This window comes from Homo sapiens, chromosome 16 (genome assembly GCF_000001405.40).
Source record: "Homo sapiens chromosome 16, GRCh38.p14 Primary Assembly".
NCBI classification, from domain to species: Eukaryota; Metazoa; Chordata; class Mammalia; order Primates; family Hominidae; genus Homo; species Homo sapiens.
In genome coordinates this window covers 72341303-72362890 of record NC_000016.10, presented here as the reverse complement: position 1 = coordinate 72362890, position 21588 = coordinate 72341303, and the positions used below count along the sequence as shown (strand labels likewise).

Sequence of the window (21588 nt, the reverse complement as noted above, 5' to 3'; positions counted from 1 at the left end):
AAGATTATATATGGTACACTGACCTCACGCTTGCAGGCATTTATAAACCTTTCCTTACGTGCATTTATTCTCAGTTGTTGTATTGTTTACTTGCAATTTATACACAAACTTATTTGTGCTAACACATGAGAACACACATGCACAGCTTCACAAATACACTCACATAGCTAAATTGACCGTCTCACTCCCAGGCTTTTTCTGGGTAATCATTACATTGCTTGACCTTGCATCTATTTGTCATCGACATCCTTTTAATGACTACCTAGGGTTACAACTCACTGACCCATGGGCTAGTGACAACCTTTTGGGGCATCTCTGTTTAAATCAGATTCCCTTCTTTCCTCCTCCTTTTCTTCTTGATTTGACAGGAAAGAATTGAGTTGATAGGGTATGAGAAGGAGGAGAGTGATTTCCACTTAGATATATTAATAACGATAGAAATAACGAAAATGATAATGATGACTAATGTTATTGAGCACTTGCTGTTTGCTAAGCACAATTCTAGGCATTTTGTGCATCTAATTTAATTTATACAACAACTGTACAAGCCAGGTATTATCATTATTATTACTATGTCCAGTAGAGAAATTAAATAACTTGTTCAAAGTCACACAAGTAGTAGCTGGCAGAGATGGGATGTGAGCACAAGAACAACTATTATATGATAAAAAAATCAGAATTGAAGGCCTGTGTGAATTCATTTTGGTTTTTGATATTTTAAATTCATTCAATACTTTTAAATTACTAGCATAATAATTTCTTATAACAAGTGAAAACAATAAAATAAAAAGTTGTATCCTGGTAAGACTGATCATCTACCTTTTTATTCATAATCCTGGTCATATCGCTCTACTACCATCTCCTCCTAATGAAACCAGGCTTCACAGTTGGGGTGTATCCTTCTGTGCATTTCGTTTTATCCATACCAACATAAAGGTATGCATACACTTACATAGGGGTCCCATTTATTTGTATGTGTGTATGTGATGGCTATGTTTCCCAGAATTTCTCTCCCCAGAATTCCCTTCCCTGAATGGTTCTGGGCTAGGATTGGCCACAAGAGAAATTTGCCTGAGATTTGAAAGGTAAAATAAAGCACCAGGCGTGACTAGATTGGGAAGGTTGAAATAAGCTCAGGTACTGTAGAAGCTTACACACACTGTAGATGTGCTGGCTCACCTGGTTGGCATCAGGTAGCAGCTGGGCCCACAGATTCTCCAGCTGCCACAGGATTTCCTCTTCCAGCTTCTCCTACTCCTATTCAGGTTCTGCTCCATGACCAAGGGCATCAGATTCTCCTGCAGGACACCCACATCATAAAAGTTGGAGGTTTGAAGGAAGTAAAAGAGCTACCTAGGTTCCCACTTGACCTTATAGGTTCTAATATGTCCTTGGAATGGCATGTCATTTCCTGTCCATCTTTGCTTCCCAGCTGCCTGCCCTGGAGACTTTAGGCCCAACACCCAATGCTGAAGCAACAGCTATACAGAAGCTGTTTAACTACTTTCCACCACTGTATAAGGTCAAGGCTCTATAATAAATTCCTTATTCTATATGACTCCTTGAATTCCTACTTCTCTGATCAAACCCTGACCAATACAGTGTGTTGGTGTGTTTTCATCTACACAGAATCAAATTGTACATGTACTCTTCAACTTGTTTTCTTCACTGATATATTGTGCATATTCTTAGACGTCAACAGATCTCTCTCCTTGCCCGCATCCATTTCTCTATATATGCTTTCACACATCACACTAAAATATAAATTCACTTTCATGGTATACATCATACATTCTAAGTTTGCTTTACAATTTTATCATTTTTCTTTTTGTCCTTTCTACCCCAATTCCTGCCTCATGTCCCACACTTACCCTCTAGACAATTTGCATTAACGAACTTATGCATTCTTCTGAATTTTTCTTTATGCTCATGATCTGTATATTAAGTATGAATGCAAGCACTGTTGCTTAAGTCAGTTGTACTTTACTTCCGCCACAAAGCTGAGCCACCAATTTTTTCACATGCTGAATTCTCATATATATTACAATCTACTTCTGAATTTTCTATCCTATAATCTTATCTCATCTCATGCTGATACCATATTGATTTGATTACAAAAAACTGTATAATATGTTCATACATAACAGTAAATTAAGAATCCTCACACACACACATTGTTCTTTTTCATATTAAAAGACATTTATTCTTACATATAAATTTTAAGATAACAAAAACTTATTTTTTAAAAATTCTGTTAGGATCCTAATTGGAAATGCACTTTCTTTTACATTAATTTGGAGAATTAACATCTTATCATCTTTGATCTCCCTGTCCAAGAACATGAAATGCTTTTTCAATTGCTTAGGTCATATTTTATGTCCTTCAGTAAGATTTTATACTTTTCTTCATATAATCCTATGCCCTTCTTTGTAACTTTATTCGTTTTATTTTATGGTTTTTGTCACTGTTGTGGAAAAAAATTCTATTATTTTCATTTTGTTTCTAGTTTCTTATTGCTAAAATACCAAAAAAAACCACATTTTTTTTTAACATTTATCTTATATCCAGCCCTGTTAACCAACTATTTTACTGATTGTATTATTAAGGGTTTTAGTCAGGGAAGCAGAACAACTAATATCATGAAATAGGGTTTAATTATAGAAAAAGGACCTTACATAATTGTGAGAGATGTTCGGAAGTAAGGATTCAAAATGGGGAGTCGGAGGATTAGAGAAAAGTCATTAACAAGCCCTCTTGAAGATATGTTCTTAGAATTCTGGAAAGCTAGATACACTCAGGTGCCAGAGAGAAAACATGAAGAGGACATGGCAGAAAAGTTTCTGGAAAGCTGGTACCTCTGCATAGCTCCCACTTGTGGAGCCATCAGTCAGGTAACTGGTGGAGGACCTGGGGCTACTTTTGGTCAGCAGATCTAGCAGTCAGGAAGTAGAGCTGGACATGGAGTGGGGAAAACAATGACAAATGAATTTACTGGCCACTTCTGCATCCATCCTTCATTGTATCTGACTCAGAAAATCTTCAAAGATAATGGCTGTTTTTGCTTCCCAAGTCTCATGTGACCTCTGATTTTTGTCAATTCTTGCACAAAACCATGAAAGAAAAGATTTCTGAAAAACACAGTTCCCGTTGTAACTCTGTTAACATTAGAACAATCCAGCACACCTGTCTTAGTAGTTTCTTTCCCAGTGCCTTTCCTGCAGTCACTAATGACACTGTTGTTAATAAATAATAAGTATGTATTATTATAAGCTCCAAGATAACATTAAAGTAACAATTAGTATTAATGGCCCTTCCCAAATTGTTTCTGATTTTAATTGAAATGGTCTTAGGGTTTTGTTAAGAATGAAATTTTCTGTTGGTTTCTGGAAAATTGCCTTTATTATAGCTAAATAGATTCCTTCTACTTATTACTTATTAGGAATGACTTTGGGACTGTATTAAATGCCTTTTCAGCATCTACAGATGTAATAATTTTGGTAATGTAATGAATTATGTTGATAGATTCTCTAATATTGAAATACTCTTTCATTCCTGAAAACAAACCCTTCCTGGTCGTACTGCATTATTATTGTGATACATTGCTGGATTCCATTTGTTAGAACATTATAACTTTTGTTTATGTATTCACAAATGAGTTTGCCCTTTTTAGCTTCATCTTTGTGCACTGTAGAGTATTTTTCTGGGACACTTCACACTGAAGACTCAGTAATTTGAATAGATCATTTGCAGCATTAATAGGTGACCAGCAGGATGGAGAAAGAAGAGGGGAATGTTCACTCTCAAAGCAGCTTTCCCATTGGTTGACCCCTGCGTCCTGAGATAAATTACTCACTGCACAACTCATCTGCAATTTCTCATGTCTTTCTCTTCAGCATGTTTATTGTTTCATTACATACTTATTAATGGGAAGGACCATCTGCTATGATGTTTTCATATAACAGATTTAATTAGTCATTCATTTAGTGCTGAGAAGATAGAGGAAGGTATTCAATATAAAATGCTCTTTTAAATACTTTTTCCAAATTCAGTAAGAAATAAATACTATTTTCTGGCCATCCCCTCAACAAAATTAATATCTAAACATGTTAAAAACATAATTTTGACTCCATGAAGACCTCACTAGGAATCCAAGTTTTTTTCATGTATGTCAACCACAGTGATTTCAGAAAGTTCATATTAGGTTCATTCCATGAGTTTCATGTTATCAGTCAATAAAAAATCACATCTACTTCACATGTTCTCTGAACAGATTTGCTATTTGAATTACTAAAAGCAAGCAAGGATATGTGTACATTTAAAATTTATGCAGTTTGCTGTGAGAGAGGAGAAAAAGGTTGCCTTAGTTCTCACTTGCCTTTGTAGGGGACAAGCAGATATAGGTTTGTGGGGCTAATTCCAGGCTCCTGTTGGAAGAGCTCAGAAACAGAGCAAGGACTTTTAGGGGTCAAAGAATCCATAAAGCAAATTGGTCTGTGCCTGCCTCAAGCTGGGGTGTTAATATTAGTAGACAGGATGCTGTAGAAATGTGAGGGAGAAAACTATAAAAAGTGATACTTAAATTGCCGTGAAGCTCGAATTGAGCCCTTTTCCATTATTCCAGAATCATTACTAATATGAGGAAAGCAGAGAGAGACCCAAACCCAATGAAAAGCCATAAGAAGCTACAGAACACATGAAAATCCCAGCTGGTGAATAAAATCTATCACGTTGACAAAACAGCGTGAGTGAAAATCTTTTAAACATGCATCAGCTGCAGGAGCTGAGTGTTGAGAAATACAAGATTAAGATGATGCTGGAGAGAACTGAGGGGCACTCACGTTCACCCCTCTAGGAAAACCCTGCCTGTGCTCTACTGAGTCATACACCATTAGGGTGATAAGGCAAGCTCAGCTGCTAAAGACATGTCTTTCCTATAATGTATATATCAAAAAAACATGGCAGAGACGTTATGGCTCAGCTCCCTGAATCAAGTTATCTCTAAAATGAAGATTAGATATTAGTTTTATTACTCTATTATTAGAGTTATAACAAATCTAAGTGCTAAATTCCTTTGAATATATTGTCCTTCATACCAAGCTGGCAATACCATAAAGATAACAACTGAGGTAGAATATTTAACAAATATTTATTGATCACCTACTATGTGCGAAACTACAAAGATAAATCAGACTTGGTCTTGGACTTGCAGGAGCAAAACTTCATGTTCCGTGAGGATAATAGGCATACATAAATAACACCCAAGCTGACTATAACATGAAGAAGAATGGAGGAGTAGAATTCTGTCATGGTGTGTGTAGGGAGGAGGGTGAGGAAGAATGAATAAAGATGACAGTTGGGAAAAGATAGTTTATATAACATTCCAGTGTGGTCTCGGAGTTTTCATCCTGACTGGATTACTAACAAGCTGCGTGACCTTCACCCAGTCTCTGTGCTTTCGTTGTCTCATCTGTAAAATGAAGGGGTTATTCTGTAATGATCTCTGAGGTCCTCCTTCAGAACAAAGACTGTTTAATTTTATTATCCTATTCACGTAGAATACTATAAGAATATAATGGCTCTCAAAAATAAAATTTAAAAATTTTTTGCCATAAAACAGTTTTAGTAACAGAGAATCTTATATATACTTTATAACGTATGTTTCTTCTTCCTGTATAGGAACTGTCTGTATCAACACATTAGGAAGTCAAAAGGGAACATCTCTCAAAGTAGCATATTAGACTTTTGGGAAATAAATGTTAAAATATAGAAAAGTATAAAGAATAATACACCAATCACATTCTACACTAAAAAATAAAATATTACACATAAAGCTAAAGTCCTCATAACCACCATTCTTCTGTCCAGTTCTCCTCTTTTCAGTCCCGTGAGGCAACTTCTAGAATTTGTTTTTGGGGGGTTTTTTTGTTTTTGTTTTTGTTTTTGAGACGGAGTTTTGCTCTTGTCATCCAGGCTGGAGTGTGATGACGTCTCAGCTCACCGCAACCTCTGCCTTCCGAGTTCAAGCAATTCTCCTGCCTCAGCCTCCCAAGTAGCAGGGATTACAGGCGCCCACCACCACGCCTGGCTAATTTTTGTATTTTTTTAGTAGAGACAGGGTTTCGCCATGTTGACCAGGCTGGTCTCAAACTCCTGACCTCAGGTGATCCACCTGCCTTGGCCTCCCAAAGTGCTGGGATTACAGGCATAAGCCACCATGCCTGGCCTTAGAATTGTTTTAATCTATGCTTCAAATTCATTTTTCGTATCTTAACATACATTTATAGATACATCCATAAGCAATACATAGAATATATTAAAATATTACGTATCCTCTATTATTTTGCTTCTTGCTTTTAATGTTTAATACAATTTTTTTGGACCTACCCATCCGACAGTTTATTCTTTTTCATCGCAGTATAAAATTCATCATAATTTTCCATTTTTGTAGATTTTTGGATTATTTTCAAATGTCTGATATTGCAATCAAGGCTACAATAAACACACACATGCACATCTTGTGCACTCATATGTACTTTCTCTGGGACATATATCTGAAATGGAATAGCCCATTATAGGGATATGTGTTTCCAAAGTTAATTAGATACTGACATATTCTTATCAAAGTGGTTGTACCAATTGACACTCCCCTCAGAGGTGCATGAAATTCTCACCTTCTTACAGATATTTGATACTACCTGACACTTAAACTTCTGACAGTCTGGGTTTAAAAATGGTATCCCATTATTATTTTTCTAGTGAAAATATTTTTTGGAATGTGCTTATTGGCTAAGCAGATTTACTTTTCTGTGAGCTGCTGCCTCGTTTCCTTTGCCAACACTTATGTTGTTGTATGTTTTAATTTTCAATTTTGTGGTTTGATCTTATTTAAGAAAGCCTCCTTTACCTTGAAGCAACTTTAATAGTTTGAGCTTGTTTTTCGCTTTAGGTCATCAATCCAATATCTGAAAAATATTTTATGTGGGCACTAAGGTAAAGAGTCTATTTTTATTTTTTTCTGTATGAACAGGCAGTTGTCCAAAACCACTTGTTGAATAATCTGTTCTTTCACTCAAAAATTTGTGAAGTAACTTCCTTCAAATACCAAGTTCCCACACATGCTTGAGTCTGTCTCTGGGCTCTTCATACTGATCTGTTGATCTAGCTGACTCTTCGTTATATTGTTTTGGTTCCTTGAGGGATTGGCTATATTTAATAAAAGGAAACTAGTTCAATGAGTGTGTTCATTTCTAATATCTCAGCCCAAAGATTTTCCTCCACTGCCCTCTGGGTAGCCACAGCCTCCTGGGAGCTACTGTGGGGAGATGTCCTCATGGAGTAGGCAAATGGTGGCAGAGCAAAGTGCAGCACAGGCAGGTCGGCCACTCCCAAGGTGGCAAGGTGACCAGTCGGCAAGTTCAAGTTGAAGACTGGACAATTTGGAGGCAAGATTCTGATTTAAGGGAGTTCTGGGCATTTTACTTGCCACTTCAGGATTGGATCCTTCTTTGGCCTTTCCCTGGCAGCTCCTGGCCAGTGGCCCACACTCAGACCACTCTGCTATTTCAGGACATTTGGAATGGCCTCTCTTTCTCCCTTCCTTTTTAGTCTTCACTGCCTCCCTACCATGTCCCTTTTTACTCCTTTCTTCAAAAGTTCTCTTCTTTCACAATAGTCTTTGATGGATGGTTAGAAAGACAGACAGAAATAGAGACTTAGATAACCAAATCTTAACAACAGTAAAACTAGTTTCTCCAGGGCAAGAAAGAACTTTCCAGGAATATAACTGCCTGAACACCATTCCTTGGAAGTCAGGGAAAATATTTTAGCTCTTGCCTTCATCCTGGTCATAGTAACTTCCAATTCAGAAAAGAAAAAAAAACAAAACAAAACTTAAATCCAACAACAAACTAATTTTCATATAAAAAGTAGGTTGAAATCCATTTTCTGCTCCATGCAATTTAGAAAAATTCAAGATGTAGGACGTGTTCGTTCCATTAGACATTTCTAACCTACAATGCTAATATAGAAAAAAAATCACTTTTTCCTTTCTGAAGGAATTCCCTCTCCATATAAACCATTTATCCAAGTCCTTTCTAACTCTTAGAACTCACTTTTCTGGAAGAGAAAGTAACTTAATTGTCTCCTTTTGCATGCAACAATGCACTTCCTGGTGTCACTTTCAAGAGATTCCTAATTGTACTACGAGATGGAACAAGGAAGTTAAAGTTGGGAAACCTAATAACAGTTGCCAGATGATTGTGAAGGTTGCATCCCTGAACAGATACTACATAGATCCAACCCCATGGCAACATCAAGAGTATAGATGGAAGGGTTCATGCCTGGTCCCATGATGGTAAAGAGCTGGGCTTCAGGGTTGTAACATATTTTGGACTTCTTGAAAGACAATCACAATTTAAAATTCAAGTACTATTATTAATTTCCCAGTTACAATTATTTGATATACTTCATTAAAATGTATTCATTAATTTTGTTTCTGTGTATTATTGATTTTATACTACATGAAGATGTTGATTTACCAGCCTTGGATCTTTTTTCACTAATTACAAGATTACAAAATTATATTTTTCCTTTCTTAAATTGAGAATTGGGAAGAGGATACTCTGAATAGTTTTTCAAAATAAACTTTTGATAGCTGGGCACCAAATTTGCCTTTCTCAGATATTTTTTGTTATTTTTAAAAACAGGTATAAATAAATGATTGTAAATATTTGTGCTTACTGGTTCGAGTCCATCTACGCTCAACAGTTTTTTTTTTTAATCACAAATCATGAAATCAAAGATATTTGAGTAAAAATAACATTCCCACCTCCTTATTTCAGAGGTATTCTCTGACTCAGCCCAGGGGGCAATATCTGCCTTTCTCTGTGAGTTTTCCTGGGATCTCCTTTAAAAGAACTGTGGCAGAAGACATACAGTAGCCATCTTGTCTGATGGAAATTTTTATGATAAATGTGCTCCTATTGTTCTAGAATTAGAGCAGCATTATAATTTTATTTTACTCACCATTTTTTAGATCATTCTTGAATCTACCCTACTTTGTATATTCTTTTTCTTATTATTTATCTTTTTTTTGTTATTATACTTTAAGTTCTAGGGTACATGTGCACAACGTGCAGGTTTGTTACATATGTATACATGGGCCATGTTGGTGTGCTGCACCCATTAACTTGTCATTTATATTAGGTATATCTCCTAATGCTATCCCTCCCCCTCCCCCCACCCCATGACAGGCCCCAGTGTGTGATGTTCCCCTTCCTGTGTCTAAGTGTTGTCACTGTTCAATTCCCACCTATGAGTGAGAGCATGCGGTGTTTGGTTTTTGGTCCTTGCAATAGTTTGCTGAGAATGATGGTTTCCAGCTTCATCCATGTCCCTACAAAGGACATTAACTCATCCTTTTTTCTGGCTGCGTAGTATTCCATGGTGTGTATGTGCCACATTTTCTTAATCCAGTCTATCATTGGTGGACATTTGGGTTGTTTCCACGTCTTTGCTATTGTGAATAGTGCCGCAATAAACATACGTGTGCATGTGTCTTTATAGCAGGATGATTTATAATCCTTTGGGTATATAGCCAGTAATGGGATGTCTGGGTCAAATGGTATTTCTAGTTCCAGATCCTTGAGGAATCACCACACTGTCTTCCACAATGGTTGAACTAGTTTACAGTCCCACCAACAGTGTAATAGCGTTCCTATTTCTCCACATCCTCTCCAGCACCTGTTGTTTCCTGACTTTTTGATGATCACCATTCTAACTGGTGAGAGATGGTATCTCATTGTGGTTTTGATTTGCATTTCTCTGATGGCCAGTGATGATGAGCATTTTTTTCATGTGTCTGTTGGCCGCATAAATGTTTTCTTTTGAGAAGTGTCTGTTCATATCCTTTGCCCACTTTTTGATGGGGTTGTTTGTTTTTTTCTTGTAAATTTGTTTGAGTTCATTGTAGATTCTGGATATTAGTCCTTTGTCAGATGAGTAGATTGCAAAAATTTTCTCCCATTCTGTAGGTTGCCTGTTCACTCTGATGGTAGTTTCTTTTGTTGTGCAGAAGCTCTTTAGTTTAATTAGATCCCATTTGTCAATTTTGGCTTCTGTTGCCATTGCTTTTGGTGTTTTAGACATGAAGTCCTTGCCCATGCCTATGTCCTGAATGGTATTGCCTAGGTTTTCTTCTAGGGTTTTTATGGTTTTAGGTCTAACCTTTAAGTCTTTAATCCATCTTGAATTAATTTTTGTGTAAGGTGTATGGAAGGGATCCAGTTTCAGCTTTCTACATATGGCTAGCCAGTTTTCCCAGCACCATTTATTAAATAGGGAATCCTTTCCCCATTTCTTGTTTTTGTCAGGTTTGTCGAAGATCAGATGGTTGTAGATGTGTGGTAGTATTTCTGAGGGCTCTGTTCTGTTCCATTTGTCTATATTTCTGTTATTATTTATCTTAATTGACTTTCTCTAAAACTTATGGAGAAATAACTTGGGCCAGGCTCGGTAGCTCACAGCTGTAATCCCAGCACTTTGGGAGGCTGAGGTGGGTGGATCACCTGAGATCGGGGTTTGAGACCACCCTAACCAACTTGGAGAAACCCCATCTCTACTAAAAATACAATAGTAGGCGGGCGTGGTAGCGCATGCCTGTAATCCCAGCTACTTGGGAGGTTGAGGCAGGAGAATCACCTGAACCCGGGAGGCAGAGGTTGCAGTGAGCCGAGATCACGCCATTGCACTCCAGCCTGGGCAACAAGAGCAAAACTCCGTCTCAAAAAAAAAAAAAAAAAGTAACTTGAACTCAACAGGATGTACATACAACATAAAAAGTCATTTTAAAGGATTAGGGAAAAGACATTTTGAGACCTCTGTATATACTTTTTGTTTTGATTTCATTTTGCCCAAAACCATGTTTGATTTCTAACCTAAACCTAAATTTGTTTGTTCATTCAGTAAACATCTATTGGATTCTTGTTCAAGACACTGCTAAGCACTATGAGTAACATTAAATGAACAAGTCATTGTCCCTATCTTTGTAAAACTTACCACCTATTGGGGAAGTAAAACATTATGTTCTGGCTTCCATTATTTGTGTATCAGTTATATAAAAGAAGCATAAACTAAGGAAGTTTCAAAAAATCAATAAAAAATTTCTAACTGGGAAAACAAGGAAAAGTGGAATTTAAATTGGGAATTGGGGTACTTCTAAAAGCAGAAATGATGAGCAAGAAATGGGATGAAAAAAGATAGTGGCAAAATAGAAATGAGGGTGTTTGAAAAAAAGAGAATACAGTAATTTAGAGGTTGAGTTCTGAGAGCAATAAATGTTTAGACCATTGGATGGACGGTCTTGAGCCCTTGTATTTAATTTGGAGCCAAGTGTAAATCCATAGAAGATTTTAACAGGGATGGCAGGTTGGAACTCTGTTTCAGGAAGATTGATTGGCAGTGATGCATAAGGTGGTATGGATGTGGTTTGGAGAACTTTTTGGGAGGCTTTACAATATTCTGTGTTTGAAGTAATGAAGATTAGGCAAAAGGTAGCAGAACAGGGAAGACAGAGGTGATAAGGCCAAATGGGGACCAGTGCCAAGGTGGCAGAAGTAATAACGTATAATCCAGTTTGATGGTGGTTCAAATCCTGGATTTTAGTCCCAATTTAGTTAAAATCTTGAGGTTACAAGTTTTCCTGGGATCCACTTTTAACAAAGTGTGGTAGAACAAAGTGTGGCCATAGAATGGCTGTTTTGTTGTCTGACAAAAATTTTTCTTCTTGATGAGAGTGAGGGGTGTTAAAGTATCTTCAAGGAAATGGAGCATGTTAGAGTATCTGATTGAAAGAGAAGCTTGGAGTAAGAACTGCTTTGAATCTTAATCTACAACAAGATACATAACTTCTCTGAGTCTTTGTTTTTTTTTTTTCTGTCAAACAGAGATAATAATATCTACTTCAGGCCAGGCACTGTGGCTCACACCTGTAATACCAGCCCTTTGGAAGGCCAAGGCGGATGGATCGCTTGAGCTCAGGAGTTCAAGACCAGCCTGGGCAACATGGCAAAACCTCCATGAAAAATACAAAAAAGTAGACGGGTGTGGTGACATGCACCTGTAGTCCCAGCTACTTGGGAAGCTGAGGCACGAGAATCTCTTGAACCTGGGAGGCAGAGGTTGCAGTGAGCCAAGATCACCCCACTGCACTCTAGCCTGGGGAACAGAGCAAGACTCTGTCTCAAAAAAAAAAAAAAAAAAAAAACCTACTTCATAAGTTCTTTGCAAGGATTCAAAAGTGTGTGGGCATGCACAAAATGTAGGGGAAGCATAAGATAACTAAATCCTAATCCACTCTTAAGAAGTCAGGATGTTGTGCCTAAAATAGAAAAAAATCAAGACGTTGTAAGGCCCGCATGTTCTTCAGAAATACAGAGACAGATACTAGAAGAAACAGCTAAATTATTTGACAGTGGTTGACTTTAGATAGTAGAAGTTGAACAAAGGACTACTATTTTCTGTTACAATTTATAGGATATTTTGACTTTCAAAAAATCTACTTAAAAGTATTGATAAAAATGAAAATTAAATAAATAAATCATCAAAATTGCATTGAGGCTAGGCTCACACATGTGATCCCAGCACTTTGGGAGGCCAAGGCAGGAGGATCGCTTGAGGCCAAGAGTTCAAGGCAATTCTGGGCAACAGAACAAGATCCTGCCTGTACAAAAAAATGAAAAAAATATTAGGTGTGGTGGCACATGCCTGTAGTGCTAGCTGCTCAGGAGGCTAAAGTGGGAGGATCGCTTTAACCCGGGAAGTTAAGGCTGCCATGAGCTGTGATTGATCCACTGCACTCCAGCCCAGGCAACAAATCGAGACTTTGTCTCAAAAAGAAAAAAAAAACAAAACATGCATTGAAACTGAAAAGGCAATTGACTACTGTTACCTAATCATCATGAAAAATGATGTGTAATCAAATTACCTGAAGATTAAGTTGTGGAAAGGACTCAACATACAAACATGTAGCAAGGAGATACTGAGTCATGAAATAGCAAGCTTCATATTTTTTAAACATTTTCTTTCTTCACCAACAGTTTATATAATTTGTCAGTGAAATGCTATGTTGTTTTGGTGAAATGCTATAATGTGTTTCAGTTGTCATTTTAACTCCTCTAAGTCTTAGTTTATTATAAAGTGGGAGTAATGATTTTGCCTTTCTCATTAGGTTGTTGTGAGCATTAAATAAGATGATACATATGCAGTCTTTGACTGTGCCACACAAAAAGGGCTTGGTGAATGTTAGCTATTATTAATGTTTAAAAGTAATATAACATTAATATTATCAGACTGTTTTCAATATAAAATACATTTTTATGTTTTCAACAAACAAAAATAACTTTTTGAATTTATAACCCGTTGCTGTGGACAATGTCTGTGATTGTTAATTGAATTCATTTGCAGTTATTAACATTGACTGGTAGAATTCAATCATTATGGATAATGGTGACACCAAAGTAGTAATTTCATGTGGTTTCAATGTAAAGTATTGATCTAATCATGTGACCAACAGTGATAGTAACCTATCATTACAAGTACTGAATGGATATTTTAACCTCTATCTAATTGTGAACCAATAATTTCTCCTTCCCTTTCATGTATGGGGCCTCTTTTCTGTGTTTTCCAGGTTCTACAGAGAAGGCAAAGATTTTGAAGGCACAGGAGACTATCATAGATATTCACAACGGCATCTCCCTAAAGGATTTGAAAGCTTTGCATCAACCAAAGGAAAAGCACCAGTGAGAGTCAAGATACAGTTCCAGACAGGTGCTACTTCTTATTCAAAAGGTATCAAGGTCTTGTTCTTATATGTTCAGATCAGTGCTGGAAATGATGAAGACAGAGAGACTGGAAGGAAGAACACAACAGTTGAGTGAGTATTAAGTATTCTCAGTTAGATCAGGGGTCCCCAACCCTCAGGCCAAGGACAGGTACTGGTCTGTGGCCTGTTAGGAACTGGGCCGCACAGCAGGAGGCGAGCAGCAGGCGAGTGAGCATTACCACCTGAGCTCCACATCCTGTCAGATCAGCAGCAACATTAGATTCTCACAGGAGCACGAACTCTATTGCAAACTTTGCATACAAGGGATCTAGATTGTGCAGTCCTTATGAGAATCTAATGCCTGATGATCTAAGGTAGAAGTTTCATCCCAAAATCACATTCCCCCCAACCCCTGGCATCCGTGGAAAAATTGTCTTCCACAAACCTGGTCCCTGGTGCCAAAAAGGTTAGGTACTGCTGAGTTAGATCATAACATTTAATCCTGATAATAACTCTGTGAGGCAAGGTTTGTTCGGCCCAATAAACAGCAGAAATATGGGTCAAATCTAGGTTCACAGTTGATGCTCATTCTACCATACATACTGCCTCTTGTAACAGGTATCCTAACAAGTACCTTCCTGGAGAGTTTTGTTGCCATATGACTTTTGTGTAGTTATTTATTTATTTATTTATTTATTTATTTATTTATTTATTTATTTTGAGAGGGAGTCTTGCTCTGTCGCCCAGGCTGGAGTGCAGTGGCACAATCTCAGCTCACTGCAACCTCCGCCTCCTGGTTCAAGCAATTCTCCTGTCTCAGCCTCCTGAGTAGCTGGGATTACAGGCACGTGCCACCACGCCTGGCTAATTTGGGTATTTTTATTAGAGACTGGGTTTCACCATATTGACCAGGCTGGTCTCGAACTCCTGACCTCATGCTATCTGCCTGCCTCAGCCTCCCAAAGTGCTGGGAGTACAGGCGTGAGCCACTGCACCTAGCCTTTGTAGTTATTTTATTAGGCCTGTCAGACAATCATCTGCATGCATGTTATTTCCCAGCAAAGAACTAAGCTTAGGTGATTTTGCTCAGTTATTCTGTATCAGGGGTAAGCAACTCTTTTTTTAAAGGGAGAGATGGTCGTTATTTTAAGCTTTGGGGGCCATACAGTCTGTTGCAACCACTCACTTATGACAGCCATAGACAATTTGTAAATGAATAGGTGAACAAGGCTATGTTCCAGTACAACTTTATTTACAGAAACAGACAGTAGCCATATGTGGCCCATGAGCTAATAGTTTGGCCAATCCTTGTGATATACCAATGATAGTCATTTTTTACGTATTTTAGTCTACGTAGTTTCAGAGTGCTTTGTCTCCTGTAATTCTTGGAACTCCCTAGTTCTGTATCCTGCAATGATTCCCCAGTGTCCTTCACCATGGAAGCCTCCATGTTTTATTATAACAGAGCCTTGGAAACAAGGGTGTGAGGCAAGGACTCGAGCCAGTGCTCATCGTGGTGAAATTTGCATCATTAGAAGAATGTTTATAAAGGACTTTAGAGAAGTTAGAGTCAGTACCCCACTGCCTGCATCAGAGCTAGCCCTGTGGTAGGAAATCTCATACAGAGGGTGGGCTCTAATTTCAGAGGATAAGAACCTGGCCTCCCACAGAGGTCTCAGTTGGAGCTATGGATTATATGGTAGAAAAAGATGAGATTGACAGCACTTGAGCTACCAGTATCTAAATTCTCTTCAGGGAATTTTATGCCAGTCAGCTGCACCAATATACCCTGCCATGCTGGCAAGTGTCTTGGTTTAAAACCCTCCCCTGCTCTGCAACTCTACCAAATTATTCATGTTGGCCTGATTTTCTTACTCTTCCATCTTTTCTGGCATTTTTTGTTTTGTGTGTGTGTCTGTGTGTGTGTGTGTGTGTGTGTGTGTGTGTGTGTGTAGCTGCTTTAGAGACATTCTGCCACCTTTCTGGATTTAGCTAGATCAGGGATAGTAGGCAGGTTGTGATTGGAATCTTAATAACCTGTCAAAACAGAGCATTTAAATCCTGTTCATGTTATTTTATATCCTTCCCATGGAACACAGATAGCCAAGAAGACAAATAAGAGAGGACCCTTGGTATTTTTTCCTTGTTTGTATGATCCTGAGGGTTTTGATGAACTGGCTTTTGCAAGTTACATTGTCGTTGTTCAAGCCAGCTTCAGCTGATTGATTTGGCAAGGATCCAAGGCATCGAAAATCAAAACAAAACAAAACGAAAAAGAAAATAAAAACTCAGATCAGATCAGAATACATCATAACAATGTAATCATTCAGCATCTCATCTGGTTACTTATAATAAGTTGTGCAGTGATGAAATGGAAATAATTTACTCTGGCCACTCTGTGTTACTGTTAAATCATTTATGTGCTGTGAAAAGAACTGCAAACTGTTGAGACTCAAAGATCCCCTAACTGCATTCTCCCAAGGAATTCTCCACCACGATCCCCAGTTCTATTTCATATTTTAAACATTTTCTTAGAGTGTGAGCTTTATTATCCACATTCAAATTCAGCAAGGCTTACTCGTCCAGATAGATCACCATCAAGAAATACAGTAATGTGAAATTGAGCTACTTCTGACATTTTTATGGTTTGTGATATACGATACAATGTGATGTATGAAGCTCTTTGTAATAATTTTTAATTTTGAAATAGCTGATTCTTTGGGGATCATTTAATACATAATTCCATAAATTTTAGTGATACCAGGTATCTTTCAAGTATCATTTTAATTGAGCTCTGGTGCTTCTGTCCTATCAACTGTGAATCGAACAGGAGCCTATCAAATCCTATTGGGTGACAAATCATAGAACAAGAAAAAATTGATTCATAAATTATGTCCAAAGACAAATAAGATTTTTTTTTATGTATTTTTTTTTATTATACTTTAAGTTTTAGGGTACATGTGCACATTGTGCAGGTTAGTTACATACGTATACATGTGCCGTGCTGGTGTGCTGCACCCACTAACTCGTCATCTAGCATTACGTATATCTCCCAATGCTATCCCTCCCCCCTCCCCCACCCCACAACAGCCCCCAGAGTGTGATGTTCCCCTTCCTGTGTCCATGTGATCTCATTGTTCAATTCCCACCTATGAGTGAGAATATGCGGTGTTTGGTTTTTTGTTCTTGCGATAGTTTACTGAGAATGTTGATTTCCAATTTCATCCATGTCCCTACAAAGGACATGAACTCATCATTTTTTATGGCTGCATAGTATTCCATGGTGTATATGCACCACATTTTCTTAATCCAGTCTATCATTGTTGGACATTTGGGTTGGTTCCAAGTCTTTGCTATTGTGAATAATGCCGGAATAAACATACGTGTGCATGTGTCTTTATAGCAGCATGATTTATAGTCCTTTGGGTATACACCGAGTAATGGGATGGCTGGGTCAAATGGTATTTCTAGTTCTAGATCCCTGAGGAATCGCCACACTGACTTCCACAATGGTTGAACTAGTTTACAGTCCCACCAACAGTGTAAAAGTGTTCCTATTTCTCCACATCCTCTCCAGCACCTGTTGTTTCCTGACTTTTTAATGATCGCCATTCTAACTGGTGTGAGATGGTATCTCATTGTGGTTTTGATTTGCATTTCTCTGATGGCCAGTGATGGTGAGCATTTTTTCATGTGTTTTTTGGCTGTATAAATGTCTTCTTTTGAGAAGTGTCTCTTCATGTCCTTCGCCCACTTTTTGATGGGGTTGTTTGTTTTTTTCTTGTAAATTTGTTTGAGTTCATTGTAGATTCTGGATATTAGCCCTTTGTCAGATGGGTAGGTTGCGAAAACTTTCTCCCATTTTCTAGGTTGCCTGTTCACTCTGATGGTAGTTTCTTTTGCTGTGCAGAAGCTCTTTAGTTTAATTAGATCCCATTTGTCAATTTTGGCTTCTGTTGCCATTGCTTTTGGTGTTTTAGACATGAAGTCCTTGCCCATGCCTATGTCCTGAATGGTAATGCCTAGGTTTTCTTCTAGGGTTTTTATGGTTTTAGGTCTAACGTTTAAGTCTTTAATCCATCTTGAATTGATTTTTGTATAAGGTGTAAGGAAGGGATCCAGTTTCAGCTTTCTGCATATGGCTAGCCAGTTTTCCCAGCACCATTTATTAAATAGGGAATCCTTTCCCCATTGCTTGTTTTTCTCAGGTTTGTCAAAGATCAGATAGTTGTAGATATGCGGCGTTATTTCTGAGGGCTCTGTTCTGTTCCATTGATCTATATCTCTGTTTTGGTACCAGTACCATGCTGTTTTGGTTACTGTAGCCTTGTAGTATAGTTGGAAGTCAGGTAGTGTGATGCCTCCAGCTTTGTTCTTTTGGCTTAGGACTGACTTGGCGATGCAGGTTCTTTTTTGGTTCCATATGAACTTTAAAGTAGTTTTTTCCAATTCTGTGAAGAAAGGCATTGGTAGCTTGATGGGGATGGCATTGAATCTGTAAATTACCTTGGGCAGTATGGCCATTTTCACGATATTGATTCTTCCTACCCATGAGCATGGAATGTTCTTCCATTTGTTTGTATCCTCTTTTATTTCCTTGAGCAGCGGTTTGTAGTTCTCCTTGAAGAGGTCCTTCACATCCTTTGTAAGTTGGATTCCTAGGTATTTTATTCTCTTTGAAGCAATTGTGAATGGGAGTTCACTCATGATTTGGCTCTCTGTTTGTCTGTTGTTGGTGTATAGGAATGCTTGTGATTTTTGCACATTGATTTTGTATCCTGAGACTTTGCTGAAGTTGCTTATCAGCTTAAGGAGATTTTGGGCTGAGACGATGGGGTTTTCGAGATATACAATCATGTCATCTGCAAACAGGGACAATTTGACTTCCTCTTTTCCTAATTGAATGCCCTTTATTTCCTTCTCCTGCCTAATTGCCCTGGCCAGAACTTCCAACACTACATTGAATAGGAGTGGTGAGAGAGGGCATCCCTGTCTTGTGCCAGTTTTCAAAGGGAATGCTTCTAGTTTTTGCCCATTCAGTATGATATTGGCTGTGGGTTTGTCATAGATAGCTCTTATTATTTTGAAATATGTCCCATCAATACCTAATTTATTGAGAGTTTTTAGCATGAAGGGTTGTTGAGTTTTGTCAAAGGCCTTTTCTGCATCTATTGAGATAATCATGTGGTTTTTGTCTTTGGCTCTGTTTATATGCTGGATTACATTTATTGATTTGCGTATATTGAACCAGCCTTGCATCCCAGGGATGAAGCCCACTTGATCATGGTGGATAAGCTTTTTGATGTGCTGCTGGATTCGGTTTGCCCGTATTTTATTGAGGATTTTGGCATCAATGTTCATCAAGGATATTGGTCTAAAATTCTCTTTTTTGGTTGTATCTCTGCCTGGCTTTGGTATCAGAATGATGCTGGCCTCATAAAATGAGTTAGGGAGGATTCCCTCTTTTTCTATTGGTTGGAATACTTTCAGAATGAATGGTACCAGTTCCTCCTTGTACCTCTGGTAGAATTCGGCTGTGAATCCATCTGGTCCTGGACTCTTTTTGATTGGTAAGCTATTGATTATTGCCACAATTTCAGATCCTGTTATTGGTCTATTCAGAGATTTAACTTCTTCCTGGTTTAGTCTTGGGAGAGTGTATGTGTCAAGGAATTTATCCATTTCTTCTAGATTTTCTAGTTTATTTGTGTAGAGGTGTTTGTAGTATTCTCTGATGGTAGTTTGTATTTCTGTGGGATCGGTGGTGATATCCCCTTTATCATTTTTCATTGCGTCTATTTGATTCTTCTCTCTTTTTTTCTTTATTAGTCTTGCTAGCGGTCTATCAATTTTGTTGATCCTTTCAAAAAACCAGCTCCTGGATTCATTAATTTTTTGAAGGGTTTTTTATGTCTCTATTTCCTTCAGTTCTGCTCTGATTTTAGTTATTTCTTGCCTTCTGCTAGCTTTTGAATGTGTTTGCTCTTGCTTTTCTAGTTCTTTTAATTGTGATGTTAGGGTGTCAATTTTGGATCTTTCCTGCTTTCTCTTGTGGGCATTTAGTGCTATAAATTTCCCTCTACACACTGCTTTGAATGCGTCCCAGAGATTCTGGTATGTTGTGTCTTTGTTCTCGTTGGTTTCAAAGAACATCTTTATTTCTGCCTTCATTTCGTTATGTACCCAGTAGTCATTCAGGAGCAGGTTGTTCAGTTTCCATGTAGTTGAGCGGCTTTGAGTGAGATTCTTAATCCTGAGTTCTAGTTTGATTGCACTGTGGTCTGAGAGATAGTTTCTTATAATGTCTGTTCTTTTACATTTGCTGAGGAGAGCTTTACTTCCAAGTATGTGGTCAGTTCTGGAATAGGTGTGGTGTGGTGCTGAAAAAAATGTATATTCTGTTGATTTGGGGTGGAGAGTTCTGTAGATGTCTATTAGGTCCGCTTGGTGCAGAGCTGAGTTCAATTCCTGGGTATCCTTGTTGACTTTCTGTCTCGTTGATCTGTCTAATGTTGACAGTGGGGTGTTAAAGTCTCCCATTATTAATGTGTGGGAGTCTAAGTCTCTTTGTAGGTCACTCAGGACTTGCTTTATGAATCTGGGTGCTCCTGTATTGGGTGCATATATATTTAGGATAGTTAGCTCTTCTTGTTGAATTGATCCCTTTACCATTATGTAATGGCCTTCTTTGTCTCTTTTCTTCTTTGTTGGTTTAAAGTCTGTTTTATCAGAGACTAGGATTGCAACCCCTGCCTTTTTTTGTTTTCCATTTGCTTGGTAGATCTTCCTCCATCCCTTTATTTTGAGCCTATGTGTGTCTCTGCATGTGAGATGGGTTTCCTGGATACAGCACACTGATGGGTCTTGACTCTTTATCCAATTTGCCAGTCTGTGTCTTTTAATTGGAGCATTTAGTCCATTTACATTTAAAGTTAATAGTGTTATGTGTGAATTTGATCCTGTCATTATGATGTTAGCTGGTTATTTTGCTCGTTAGTTGATGCAGTTTCTTCCTAGTCTCAATGGTCTTTACATTTTGGCATGATTTTGCAGCGGCTGGTACTGGTTGTTGACATGATGAAAATGCATCACAGTACTGAAAGATTGGATCCCCAGCAATTAAATCAGGGAGTCTGGTTAATGGGATATTAAAACAGTCCATAGCAGATTGAGAGAGAATGAACAAGAACAGTGGCAATGTAAATAGGGAGGAATGGAGGATAGTGGAGGGTGGGATTTCTATGAGATTTTTGGAAGAAAGAATCAAACTGGAACTTGGTAGCTAATCTGATAATATGGGATATAGGAAGAGTGAACTGAAGATGATTGTAGTGTTTTGAGCTCCAATAAGTAGAATGAGGAAGTAGGGAGGGGAGTCTTAGGGGATTAGCCAGTGTCTCTGGGCACTTGGAGCGCACTGTGTACATTTCTCTGTTCCCAGCCCTTATGACACCATATCTGTAACTATTTGTTTATGAATCTCTCTTCATCATTAATTCTGAGCTTCTTACACCTCATGATTTATATAAGCCCAGTACCCAGGACAGTATTCCAGGCATAGTTAAGGCTTCCATAAACACCCCTTTGGAATAAACTTTAAGCATATTAATATAGAAAGTGCTCACTGATTAGCCAAAATATGGCTGTTTATGCAATCGGAAATATGCAGTAGACATTTTTGAATGTTATTAGGTTGTAGAAGTAGATTTTGATTATCAGAAACAAAATTTGAAATCCTGAGAACAGATTAATATTTTGAAACAGGATTG

General features: G+C 38.0%; 1 long non-coding RNA gene across 1 annotated transcript in view, besides 1 other annotated feature; it reads left to right on the top strand.

Moving 5' to 3' along the window:
• The window catches only part of LINC01572 (long intergenic non-protein coding RNA 1572), a 384069-nt gene that overhangs the window by 302080 nt on the left and 60401 nt on the right, over positions 1-21588 (top strand). The window contains exon 9 of the long non-coding RNA NR_126330.2: positions 13685-13824. This is a non-coding gene — a long non-coding RNA (long intergenic non-protein coding RNA 1572). The remainder of the gene's footprint in view (positions 1-13684; positions 13825-21588) is intronic.
• Positions 6120-6289: an enhancer, noted in NCBI's record as "experimental_44041 CRE fragment used in MPRA reporter constructs". NCBI's record gives its function as "activates a minimal promoter by MPRAs in K562 erythroleukemia cells, with activity observed for the introgressed 16:72390586 variant allele {active_cell/tissue: K562}" and the evidence as "EXISTENCE:reporter gene assay evidence [ECO:0000049][PMID:34662402]".